The sequence below is a fragment of the Homo sapiens genome, chromosome 2 (genome assembly GCF_000001405.40).
Source record: "Homo sapiens chromosome 2, GRCh38.p14 Primary Assembly".
NCBI classification, from domain to species: Eukaryota; Metazoa; Chordata; class Mammalia; order Primates; family Hominidae; genus Homo; species Homo sapiens.
The window spans coordinates 47847585-47861717 of record NC_000002.12 but is presented as its reverse complement, the minus strand read 5'-3'; the positions used below and the strand labels follow the sequence as shown (position 1 = coordinate 47861717).

General features: G+C 38.6%; 1 protein-coding gene across 11 annotated transcripts in view; it reads left to right on the top strand.

Annotated features, from left to right (window-relative positions):
- The window catches only part of FBXO11 (F-box protein 11), a 99579-nt gene that overhangs the window by 44781 nt on the left and 40665 nt on the right, over positions 1-14133 (top strand). For 2 of the 11 annotated variants that reach the window (XM_047445920.1, XM_047445919.1), the window contains exon 1: positions 8361-8495. The exons of 8 other annotated variants lie outside the window; for them this stretch is intronic. The gene's annotated coding sequence lies outside the window, so the exon portion shown is untranslated. Of the gene's footprint in view, positions 1-8355; positions 8496-14133 lie in introns of those variants that run through there. One more of the 11 variants, XM_047445921.1, reaches the window with a different exon arrangement.

The following is a 14133-nucleotide window of genomic DNA, read 5'->3' as shown; positions in this document are numbered from 1 at the left end:
CCCAGAAGCCAAAACCAAGCAAGTTAACTTCTTGTGTCTCATTGGGCCACATTGGCTTGGACCTGCCAATCCTAGGGTATGGAGTCACCATAAATGGGCTGGGTGCTGTGGTTCACTTCTGTAATCCCAGCACTTCAGGAGGCTGAGATGGGAGGATTGCTTGAGCCCAGAAATTCAAGACCAGTCAGGGCAATACAGCAAGACACCATCTCTCCAAAAAAAATTTTTTTAATTAGCTGGGCATGGTGGTATGCACCTGTGGGCTCAGCTACTTGGGAGGCTGAGGTGGAAGGATCACTTGAGCCCAGGAGATCGAGGCTGCAGTGAGCCATGATTGTGCCACTGCACTTCTGCCTGAGCAACAGAGCAAGATCTTGTCTCAAAAAAAAAAAAAAAAAAGGTCAGACTATTCATATGGGATAGAATGAATATTATGAAGTCAATTACAATATCTACTCCATAGGAAGTGTGGATGTATATGTTTTTACAAGATACATAAGTGTACACAGTGTACAACTAAGTTTGAGGACGGCTACACTTCCCAGTTTAAGACTTAAAAATAGGGGAAGGCCAGGCGTGGTGGTTCATGCCTGTAATTCCAGCACTTTGGGAGGCCGTGGCGGGTGGATCACCTGAGGTTGGGAGTTCGAAACCAGCCTAACCAACATGGAGAAACCCCATCTCTACTAAAAATACAAACTTAGCTGGACGTAGTGACTTTACTAAAAATGCAAACCCAGCTACTCCAGAGGCTGAGGCAGGAGAATCACTTGAACCCGGGAGGTGGAGGTTGCAGTGAGCCGAGATTGCGCCATTGCACTCCAGCCTGGGCAACGAGAGTGAAACTCCGTCTCAAAAAAAAAAAAAAAAAAAATAGGGGAAAACAACTGATTTTTTTTTTTTCCTATTTTCCAGTGGAACACAGTTATTCTATGTGACTGGTTTGACTTTCTTTCTCTCTCTCTCCTGCAGGGAAAAGTTTTGATTAGCCTTAGTTAATAACCCAGGGTAGGCTGGGCGTGGTGGCTCACGCATGTAATTCTAGCACTTTGGGAGGCCGAGGCAGGTGGATTTTCTGAGTTCAGGAGTTCGAGACCAGCCTGGGCAACACAGTGAAACCCTGTCTCTACTAAAATACAATTAGCTGGGCGTGGTGGCATGCACCTGTAGTCCCAGCTACTTGGGATGCTAAGGCAGGAGAATTGCTTGAACCTGGGAGGCGGAGGTTTCAGTGGGCCGAGATTGTGCCACTGCGCTCCACTCTGGGCGACAGAGCCAGACTCTGTCTCCAAAAAAAAAAAAAAAAATCCAGGGTAAAATAATTCTTAAGGCTAAGGATTGAAAACTTACATTCATAATTGTTGTTTAAATTTATTAGCTAGCCATGTGAAATATAGCCAATTTCTCATGCCCTGGCTGTTGGAGATTCTTTGGTTCTGTGCTCTCTGGCAAATGAGTTAGCTAGTCAGGGCACAGTGATAAAAATGAGTAGTTTAACTATTTGGAATAAAGTGCCCAGCAGTTTCATTTAACACTAAGAAACAGAAGCAATAAAGACTTCTGAGCAGCATAGCATAGTTCTAAAACCCATGTTCTTTCTTGGAAAAAACCTCTTAAGCTCTCATTTAGTGCCCGTTTACTCTTACTTTAAAAACAGACATGTCTCCTAAGCTTATTTTATCGGTTTATCAGAGAAGAGAGGATTTTATAGTTAGCCCATGGACAGCTAGAAACAGCAACATGACAGCAAGAAAGGGGGGAAAATCTATGAACTTTTCATGAGAATCTCAAACTAAGCATTTAGGATAACTTATTCTAGAAAATAGCTTGGTACTGATAAATGGGGCCTCAATCTCAGGTCTCATCCTAGCACAAAAAAATAGACTATTTCATGATCCTAATGATTATCTTATAATATGAAAGTATTAATATTATTTTAAGAATATCCTTGTCTTAAAAGACAACATAATTGGGTTTGGAAATATTTTTAATCAAAATGATTAAAGTTAAAATTCTGTTTCAGTGCTTGAAGGGTGTAAACCCCCCAGCTACCTTGAAAGCGTAACTGTGAAAACACTTTGAGGGCTGCAAATAAGAAAGACAAGAGTAAAGCTTCAGCTGTTTGTATACAAGGGATTGGAAGAGAATCTTTCTTGAGGTCTCATCCATTTATGGAAATATACTCTTTTTGTGTATGTATGTAAATCATCTAGAGCCTGTTACTTTTAAATCTTTGCCAAGTTTTTCCCAACCTCTCTTCACAGCACCAATCGGTGAAATTAGTTTAATCTTTTTTTAAAAAATCCTCCAAGACATCTGAAATTGAATTCAGTCTTAACTCCAATATCATGATAAAAGCGAACCATTGACTTTGGCACAAGTTCTCTAAATCCTTAATTTTTTTTCATTTTTTATTTTTGTATTTTAATATTTTGAACTCTGGATGATCTTCAGATTAGTTGGGTACATTTTATTGTAGTGTTTCTGCTTATACATCGCATCCTAGAATCAAGAAAGGAAATACGTATCTCTGAAGAGTGGCTTTAAATTACCTGTATTGCTCATTAGTTCTGTTAGTGCCATTAAGAGTTGAAGTAAATGTTGATATGAATTCCTTTAATTTTATAGCTATTAATACTTTTTCTTTTCTTTTCTTTTCTTTTTTTTTTTTTTTTTGGAGACAGAGTTTTGCTCAGTCGCCCAGGCTGGAGTGCAGAGTGGCGCGATCTCTGCTCACTGCGACCTCCGCCTCCCGGATTCAAGCCATTCTCCTGCCTCAGCCTCCTGAGTAGCTGGGATTACAGGCGCGGGCTACCACGCCCAGCTAATTTTTGTATTTTTAGTAGAGACGGGGTTTCACCATGTTGACCTGGTCTTGAACTCCTGACCTCGTGATCCAACCGTCTTGGCCTCCCAAGGTGCTGGCATTACAGGCATAAGCCACTGCGCCCGACCCTTTTTCTAGATAAGTCAGTTCAGGTTTTTGCATTTGTATTATGTTTTTCATTTTTCTTTTCTTTTTTTTTTTTTTTTTTTGAGGCAGAGTCTCACTCTGTTGCCCAGGCTGGAGAGCAATGACATGATTTCAGCTCACTGCAACCTCTGCCTCCCAGGTTCAGGGGATTCTCCTGCCTCAGCCTCCTGAATAGCTGGAATTACAGGCATGTGCTACCATGCCCAGCTAATTTTTGTATTTTTAGTAGAGACGGGGATACACCATGATGGCCAGGTTGGTCTTGAGCTCGTGACTTCAGGTGATCTGCCCACCTTGGCCTCCCAAAGTGCTGGGATTACAGGCGTGAGTCACCACGCCTGGCCTGTATTATGTTTTTCATTAAGTACTCATGCTTTAGAACATTGTTATTGACATCAGTCTGTAGATTTACTACATGAAAACTTGGATAAGTGGGCTGGGCACGGTGGCTCACGCCTGTAATCCCAGCACTTTGGGAGGCCGAGGTGGGTGGACCACCTGAGGTCAGGAGCTCAAGACCAGCCTGGCCAACATGGCGAAACCTTGGGAGACAGAGGTTGCAGTGAACTGAGATCACGCCACTGCACTCCAGCCTGAGCAACAGAGTGAGGCTCCGCCTCAAAAAAATAAAAATAAAACTTGGATAATTTGTATTTTTTTTTCTAGTTTACGCTCTTTTATAGTGACCCAAGGCAATGATTTTTTTAAAAAGATATTTTGGCGCCATCTGCTGTTCTTTAATGCGATATTTCATCTACTTTGGTAAAGATTTGAAATATATGTATGTGTGTGTGTATATATATATATTTGCCCATATAAAGGACAAAATAATGGCGATTTTTAAAAGTCTGCTGCGTCTGCCTTATGATTCTTGTATTTCCAGCTGCAAAGGCTGTCTTGTAATTTTGATGGTAAGAAACAGGCTTGCCTAAAAAATATTTCTGTAGTCCTGCGTCTGCCAGTTTTGTATATTCATTCAATGACTTTGAGTTCCTGAAGACTTCCTTCTCGAGTTTACTGTGACTTCTCGTGACAAAGCTCCTGAGTTAGCTTTGCTCATTTGTTAATGTCCCTTCTCTCTGAACATGTAGTTTTTCATGTTTCATGGTCTGTCCTTATCTTACCCCTAAACCACATCCCTATCCCTGCTATGAAATCTACCCCCCATGATTATTTTTATTGATTTTCTAAGCTTCTATGTAGATCAGTTGTACTGCAGATACAGCATCTTATTTTATATTTGTAGTCTTTACTTGTCTCACATGATCTGGTTGCATATATAGTATAGCTATATGTATGTCTGTATGAGACCATAAAATTTCTGGCCAGGTGTGGTGGCTCACGACTATAATCCCAACACTTTGGGAGGCTGAGGCAGGAGGATCACTTGAAGCCAAGAGTTTGAGACCAGCCTGGGCAACAAAACAAAACCCTGTCTCTGCTGATTTAAAAAAAAAAATACCTTCTTGCTCATTAATGGCTGTGTATATCTTTTCTCTCCAAACAAATGGTGTGTTGTTTGTTTATGGGGCAGTTTGTATACTGATTTTATAATCTCTAGTAAATCCACATGCACTGTTAGGTATGCAGACTTGGAAATCTGGTGCCCTAATTAAAAGAATTGTGTGCAAAGTAAAGATCCTGAGTGGTGAACTTTGACTAAAGTAGATGAGTTTCTGTGCATAAATAGTGTAATGTCTATATTGGCTGCTCAGAGTTTATCCCATTATCACATTTAAACATTGTCTATTGATTTCTGCTGTGATGGTCTACATACAACATTCTTACCATCCAACTCATCCCAGTATAGCTTTAAATCATATACTTAAAGCTTAATTTTATGTTTCTTCAACTTGGATAATATCTGTAGACTCCGTCCTTTGTATTACGACATTCGTGGTTCTTGCCTTTTACATTGTACTGTTTCAGTTCTACATTTTCATTATCACAGTTGATAATATAATTATCCTATTGTTAGTGAAGTTTTCTTCATTGATTTATATGTAGGTTGATTGTTGAAGTTAAAAAGTAAATGTTCACCTTACGAATATGGACATTTTACCTCTATAGTGCTGAATATGTGCTAAAATTATGTTTTGTTCTCCACTAACTGATACAACTGTCCGTAGGCCACTCAAAAGATTATTTCTAGCTGTTTTGATGGATTCTTTTTTACATACCACTTACAGCCTTTTATGTCCTCAAGTTTTTCCAAGTTTCCTACTATCTAATCTATAACTTTTTTTCAAGGACATTTCATTCCCAGAGCCCTCTTCCAATGTATACTGGTTTCTTTGGACCTATTTTATACCCTTTATCATGGGATTCCTTCTCTTTGTTGCTTTCCTGAGATAGTCCATTAATTGCTGCATACCGTGTCTTCCTCTTTTGGTGTTTACACCTTAGTTTTGCTGAAATATGTCTTCAAGTAATTTCTTAAGAAAGATTGTGGAGAAGATTAACTTTATAAGTCTCTGTGTGTCTGGAAATCTATTTAATCTATCTTTATGCTTGTTTGGTGGTTTGGTGAGATTTGGCTTGTTTTGAGATCCACATATCACTGTGTCCTTTGTTGTACTTGCATTTTCTGAGTTAAAAGCTTCTCTGAGGTTTTTGTTTGTTTTTCATCTTTAGAGACGGTATTCCACTTGGTTGCCTAGGCTTGGAGTGCATAATGTAATGATAGCACGCTGCAGCCTCGAACTCTTAGGCTCAAGTGATCCTCCTGCCTCAGCCTCCTGAGTAGCTGGAACTGCACGTGTGCACCCCCATGCCTGGCTTTTGCTCAGGTTTTGAATGAACTTGATATCTCTGTCTTCTGTTGTAGGCTCATCTATATCTTACCAGGCAATACAGCTTTTTCTACTTTGCTTCACCAGGCAACATTCCTTTTTTTTTTTTTGAACTGTTTGAGATGGAGTTTCGCTCTTGTTGCCCAGGCTGGAGTGCCATGGCACAATCTTGGCTCACTGGAACCTCTGCCTCCCAGGTTCAAGCAATTCTCCTGCCTCAGCCTCCCAAGTAGCTGTGATTATAGGCATGCACCACCATGCCTGGCTGATTTTGTATTTTTAGTAAAGATGGGTTTTACCATGTTGGTCAGGCTGGTCTCGAACTCCTGACTTCAGGTGATCAGCCCACTCTGGCCTCCCAAAGTGCTGGGATTACAAGCATGAGCCACTGCACCTGGCCACATTCCTTTATTTTTGTGTGTTCCAGAAATCTGTTGAAATTTCTTATGTACACTGATGGTGTCCATCCTGTTTTCTTTGTTGTAGGGGTTTATATCTTTTTATTTTCTTACTAATTACATTAAATAGTCTTGGAGATAAAATGAGTCTACCTACAAGCCTGGGAACATGGTGAGACCCCATCTCTGCAAAAAACAAATGTGCGCCTTTGGTCCCAGCTACTTAAGGAGGCTGAGGTGTGGGAGGATCACTTGAGCTCCAGAAGTCGAGGCTGCAGTGAGCTGTGATCATGCCACTGCAGTCTATCCTGGGCGACAGAGTGAGACCCTGTCTCAAAAACAAAAAAAAAAAATGAGTCTACCTAGTCTGTCATTTTCCCCCAAATTTTTAATTTTAAACATTAGAAATTGAAATGTACTAAGAAAGTAACTTGAACACTAAATCCCTAAAAATGATATAGTGATCTCACAATTCTAGAAAGTGATTCCTGATTTCATGTTCTATTTTGTTCTTATTCTTACTACCACCACCCTAATCCAGGCCTTTTTCTAATTTATTGCTGATATTGAAGGAGTCTTTTTTATTGTGCCTTAGTTTCTTATATGCACGTTGCTGCCAAAGCCATCTCTTAATAAAAGGTTTGATGAATGTTACAACAGTAATTGAAATTTTTCCACTAAAAAAAAAAACAAAAAAAAAAACAGAATAAAGATCAGTTGTTTTACCTTGGCATTCAAAGACTTTTCTTTGACTCCCATGGTTCTCAAAGCGTGATCCTGGTCCACCACCATCAGCATCCCTTGGGAACGTGTTAGCACTGCAAATTCTCATTCCTCCCTAATTTTCTGAATCAGAAATTACGGAGGTGGAGCCCAGCAATCTGTTTTAACCAAACTTCCACATAATTCTAATTAATTTATGCTTTGAGAACCGCTGATCTAGTTTGTCCCTCTCATTTTGCAGGCAAAGAATTGAATTCTAGAGAGGTTAATTGACTTGTCCAGTCATACAGCTAGGTTCTGTTTTCTATTATTTATTTATTTATTTATTTTTATTTTATTCACTTTACCCCCCAGTATTCATAGTTTTCTTTCTAATACTCCATATTTGACTTGACTTTTTACAAGTTGTAATTACAAATAAGTCTAAGATGGGAAAGTTGTGGAAAACTTTATAGAGAACATGAGATTTGACTGAACAGTAAACATTAAGTAGAGAGAAAAGAAAGGGGTGTTCTAAGCAGTAGGGACCACAGTGAATAAAGGTAGAGATAGGTAGGTTTAAAAAAAAAAAAAAGTCCTGGGGACAGCCTGGGTGACAGAGCGAGACTCCGTCTCAAAAAAAAGAAAAAAAGAATATTCTTAAACTGAGACATTAAGTAACTGTTTTCTCTTTTGTGTGTTTTTTCTTTATTCAAATTTTCTAAGTGAACATACTTTTATAGTTCGGAAAGAATTAATGTGATACATACTTTGAAACTGGCAGGATTGTTGGAATAGTTTTATAGCCTCTCCTAATGACTACTGATACTTTAAAGGGAACAGTATTCATTTTTATCTGTGGTCAGCACTTGGCATTTGTGGATTTAACATTATCTTCTAAGCTTCTAGAACCATTCTAAATACCTGTCATGAGTAGTATTTTGTAATAGAAATCATTATTTCTACCTCATAAGAGTTTTTAGAAGATGAAATTGGATAACTTTTTTTAAGCCTCCAGGTGGAATTTGAAATACATTTTGAGTGGACCTTGGTAACTTTCAGTATCCCATCTCAATTATGATGATAGCTAATGTTGAGAGGTCATCTCTGCCAGGTACTGTTAAGTATTATCAGTCTTACTTAATCTTCACAGTAATTTTATAAGGTAAGCACCATGATTATCTCCATTTTATAGATGAACTGAAAATGAGTTGAGGAGCTTAAGTTAAAGAGGCTAAGGTACTTATGCAAGATAACAGGGTGGCTACTAAGCCAGGAATGTAACCAAGAGCCAGTTTTTTTTGAGCTTGTATCCTTAGTCATTGTGCTATACTGTCTCCACATACTACTATTTACAATACTAAAACATCTGAGGAGCTACCTATTAATAAAATAAAGGATCTGATTTAATATTTTGGTATTTTTATATATTTGAATAAAATATGACATGTAAAAGTATTATTATTATTTTTTTAATTCCTGGGCCAGGCACGGTGGCTCATGCCTGTAATCTCAGCACTGTGGGAGGCCGAGGCAGGTGGATCACGAGGTCAGAAGTTCGAGACCAGCCTGGCCAACGTGGTGAAGCCCCGTCTGTACTGAAAATACAAAGATTAGCTGGGCTTGGTGGTGAGTGCCTGTAATCCCAGCTACTAGGGAGGCTGAGGCAGGAGAATGGCTTGAACTCAGGAGGCGGAGGTTGCAGTCAGCCAAGATCGTGCCACTGCACTGTAGCCTGGGTGACAGAGCAAGACTCCATCTCAAAAAAAAAAAAAATTCTTCAAATTAAACATTTCCAAAAGGTTTATGTCCTGTTCCATGGTATTCTTTTATAGGCTAATATACTCCTAATAAATATATCCAATATTATTTAGCAAAATTAATTGTATAACAGAGATTAAGAGTAGGGGGCTCTGGAGCTTACCCATGTGATTTAAAATTCTGCCTCTGCTGCTTAATACTGTGTGACCTAGTGTGAGTTGCCTAACCTCTCTTTGCCTGGTTTCCTCATCAATAACATAGGAATAATAATATGTCCCTTATGAAGTTGATGCAAGGATTCAATGAGTTGATACACGTATAAAACACTTGAAACAGTAGTGCCTGTACATGTAGGTTTTCAGTAAGTGTTAGGTACACTGTTAGCAGTAGTGGCACTATTTATTTGAATTACTATCATTATTATCATCCATCATCATTTGTATTGATACAATAAAGTTTTAAAAGACACCCAAATTACTTAGTAGTGAAAAGTAAAAATAAAAACATCATATCTAGAGTCCATTGACTTAAAAATTATTTTGCTACCATTTATTGGCTTTCTAACCTTAAGCATTTCACTTAACTTTAATGGCCTGAACTGCCTGTCAGTAGAACAAATTAATACCTTTCTTGTCGGGTGATTACTTGATTTGTAAAAAACATTACTAGAAATCATGTTGCAGTACCACAAATTATAGTCAAAGTATGGGACTGGTAAAGAGCTGATGATGCTGAGCCCCCTCTCCATCCTTTTCTCTCTCTGGTGAGGTCCGTTTTTCTTCTTTCAATAAAATGGTTGCTGGCCAGACGCAGTGGCTCATACCTGTAATCCCAGCACTTTGGGAGGCCGAGGCAGGTGGATCACCTTAGGTCAGGAGTTCGAGACCACCCTGGCCAACATGGCGAAACCCCGTCTCTACTAAAAATACAAAAATTAGCCGGGTGTGGTGGCAGGTGCCTGTAATCCCAGCTATTCGGGAGGCTGAGGCAGGAGGATTGCTTGAAGCAGGTGTGGAGGTTGCAGTGAGCCAAGATAGTGCCATTGCACTCCAACCTGGGCAACAGAGCAAGACTCAGCCTCAAAAAAAAAAAAAAAAAAAATTGGTTGCTTGATACAGAGACTACTATTAGCATGGCCCCTGCCCAAGATAGACGCACAAATTTGTAAAGCATTCTGTATTAAAAAAAGTTGTTTCTTGTGTGAATTCACAAAGGAAAGGTTAAGGATTTAATGCTTATAAGAATATAGCCATATTTTCATTTTGCTTTTCATACTTCACTCTTGCTCTTAAACTCCTTGCCCATAAACTAAAGACATTTCTAGAAATTTCTAAATATTATGTGAAAATACATTAGGGACAGGCTAAATTGTTTTCTTTTAAACTGTGTGCGTATGACGATTTGTGTGTCCTGTTTTATACTTTTATAACACCTGTGTGTGTCCTTGGTATGGCACTTACTATATTGCTTTATTTGTTTACATATCTCACTCCCCTACTAGAACAGTTCCCTCAGTGATGGACCTTCATATTCACAATGACTAGCAAACAGATGAAAATTAATAGGCCAGGCGCGGTGGCTCACACCTGTAATCCCAGCACTTTGGGAAGCTGAGGTGGGTGGAGCATGAGGTCAGGAATTCGAGACCAGCCTGGCCAGCATAGTGAAACCCCATCTCTACTAAATACAAAAATTAGCCACGCGTGGTAAAAATACAAAATTAGTAGTCCCAGCTACTTGGGAGGCTGAGGCAGGAGAATCGCTTGAACCTGGCAGGCAGAGGTTGTGGTAAGCCGAGATCACACCACTGCACTCCAGCCTGTGCAACAGAATGAGACTCTGTCTCAAAAAAAGAAAAGAAAAGAAAAAATTAATAGCATTTAGTTAATAACGTCTGTGAGTCCAAGGTTAGGCTAAAGCTAGGTTTGACTTAATTTGGGGCTATGGTCATTCTGTTCTTGAATTAATGATATATTTGATAACTCTGGCCATATCAGTTTCTCCTTGGACATAAACACTACTTTTGAATTACATTGTCCAATTGAACTTGGATTGAACTTAAGTATTTTAAATCTTTGGAAGTTACTAACTTTAAAAAATTTTTTCTTGCTTGTTAAAATAGAAAATTATTGTATGTATTTTATGAATTTTGACTCTTAGGAAATATTGAACGTGAAAAACTAGGGGAACAAATATGAGAATGGAAGAAAACATTTTTAAATGTTCCATTCTGGGGAGAGACTATTTTACACTCCTTTTCCCAAAAGCAATGAGAGAAAATGTCTTGGGAGAACAGAACGTGATACATAACAGGAAAGAATTAAAATTTAAGCTATTCTCAAGAGACTTTAATCCTTGAATTAGTAGTTGTCAGTTGGAGATTTTCTTTTAATCAAACTAAAGTTATGAACTTTGGTCAATTCTGGGCCCACAGACATTTTTTACTTATTTTTTAAATTCATTTCAAATTCATGAATCTGTGGACATTTTCTATATAGAGTATTGTTAATTTTGACATCAACAGTTAATAGTCCACTTTACATCATATGGCTGCCTCTCAAAAATTGAATGGCACGTCTACCATGAAACAGTATTGTACCATATGTACATTATGATAGCTATGATAGCTAGTCTATGCTTTCTGACTCCCCATTCCTAGTGTAGTGTATTTTCTGAGTGACAAAATTCTCTTATTTATGTCCAACCCAAATGACTCACTAATGCTTGAGATCTACATATTTAGTTTTATGTTGGGCATTTCCACTTGAATGTCTCACAGGTACCTCAAAACTCAAAATTGAAACCCTTAACTCATCTTTTTTCCCCACCTTCAATCTCCAAAGTCACTGCCTTAGTACATGGCACCACCATCCATTGGATTGCCCAAATCAGTATTAATTTGGTTCCAACCTCTTCTCCACCCCCAGCCCACCATACCCACTCATCAAGTTTTATGAGCTTTATCTTGTATCTCATATATCCATTTCTTCCATATTTATTACTGTAGCCATCTTCCTCTCTGAGTTGTATTGTGCTGTAGCTCCCTTACTCGTCTCCTGCCACCAGTGCTATTCATTTCCAGTTGTTTTTGCATTGTTTGGGTGATCTTCCTAAAACCAAAATCAGAACACATTACTGTTCTTTTTAATACCCTTCAGTGACCATATTTTGTTTTTAAGATAAGGTCTAAATTATTTTAAGTGTTTGTAATAGCCTTTATAATTTGGCCTCTGCTACATAGTATAGCCATACATATGGAGCAGCTGGCAGTTCCTTGATACCTGTGCTGGAGATGAGCACCTTCAGGTCTTCACACACACTATTCCTTCTGCATAACTGACTCTCAGTTGTCATCCATTTCTTAGCTTGGACTTTCTTCAGAAAATCTTACACCAATACCCACATCATCTAAGATTGGATTAGATGTTCTTAAATATTCCCTCAATACTTTCTGCTTAACCTTATCAGCATGTGACACACTGCATTATTACTGCCTGTTTAGTTGTCTGTCTCTTAGGCTCTTGAAGAGCAAATACAATATTCTGTTTGATTGACCTGTGTCACCAATACCTAGCACAGTCCATGGCAAGATTTGGCTTTTGAAGATTGTTACTAAGTAACGAAAATGCACATTTTTTAAGTCATTTTAAGTATAATGATCCTGTGGTGGCAAAAATTCAGTGTAAGAACGTATGTGTGTTAATAACTGAATACATTAATGGAAGTATTATGTAACAGTATCCTAAATAAATAATTTTAAAATGTAACTATAAAATCAGAAACATTTGCTTACAGCAAGTCAAGCTTTTAAAAAGTTTTTTTAATTATAACTTTACTTTTGGGATCTCTATTATAAAATATTTAAATTTTAAGTAAACCATGTAACTTTATAAGTATTTAAATTTTATCTTGATTTCCATTTGTGAATTTTTTTAGCAGTTAGAGAAAAGCTGTGGTAGTTTCCAACTGTGTTAGAAACAGTTGTCAAGTGTGGTTCCTTTACGCCATGAGACTGGGAGCTGTTTCTAAACACAAAGTTGTTAGTCGCACAGATTTGCCTAAGTTTCCAATCTGATCTGTGACTATGGGTAAGTAAATTGGAATTTGTGTATTTGTGGGGAAAAAAACTTCTGTCAATTAAATTCCATAAACTACTCTTAACTTTATAACCTAAAATGTGTAGACTTTAAACCCCAGCCAATCAATAGTATAATTTTTTGCAAACTTTCAAGGTAAAGGGTATATAAAAAGGTATTCTGCTAGGCTCAGAATAAATAGAGTCAAGACAGTTAGGAATCTTATTTGAATCCTAAAATAAATTTTCAGTGCTACATTTATTATCAAAGATGTCAGAGATTATTTTTTAATTAAAGAAACATGTTTATTTTCCAGAAGACTTTACTTATTTCTGTGGTTCCTATTAATAGTGAAGATTGTAGTGTATTTATAGCATAGGATTTGTAGTAAAATCTAGAAATTATAAAATAAATTTTGATATTATATATGTGTGTGCAAATAGCATACTTTTAAATTGCGTATTAACTTTTTATCCTTTAAGACAGTGGTCCCCAACCTTTTTTGGCACCAATGACTGGTTTTATGGAAGACAGTTTTTCCACGGACTCAGAGGGGTGGGTGGTTTCAGGATGAAACTGTTCACCTCAGATCATCAGACATGCACCACATAATTAGATTCTCATAAGAAGTGCACAACCTAGATCCCTCGCATGTGCAGTTCACAATAGGGTTCACACTCCTATGAGAATCTAATGCTGTGGCTGATCTGACAGGAGGCGGAGCTCAGGCAGTATTGCTTGGTCGCCTACCACTCACCTCCTGGGTGGCCCAGTTCCTAACTGGCCCCGGGGTTGGGGATCTCTGCTTTAAGAGAACTGATAAAGGTTTAGTGAAAGATATATATGTGTGTGTGTGTTTGGTTGTTTTTTTGTTTGTTTGTTTGTTTTTTTGAGATGGGGTCTCGCTCTGTCGCCCAGGCTGGAGTGCAGTGGTGCGATCTCAGCTCACTGCAAGCTCCACCTCCCGGGTTCACAGCATTCTCCTGCCTCAGCCTCCCGAGTAGCTGGGACTACAAGCACCCGTCACCACGCCCGGCTAATTTTTTGTATTTTTAGTAGAGATGGGGTTTCACCGTGTTAGCCAGGATGGTCTCAATCTCCTGACCTCATGATCCACCCGCCTCAGCCTCCCAAAGTGCTGGGATTACAGGCATGAGCACTGTGCCTGGCCATATGTGTGTGTTTTTATATACACACACAGTCTGTCTAACACAGTCACGCACCACATAACAATGTTTTCATCAACAACAGACTGTATATGATGGTGGTCCCAAAAAATTATGATACCATATTTTGTTTATTTGTTCGTTTGAGACAGAGTCTCGCTCTGTCACCCAGGCTGGAGTGCAGTGGGTGTGATCTTGGCTTACTGCAACCTCCTGGGTTCAAGCGGTTCTCCTGCCTTAGCCTCCTGAGTAGCTGGGACTACA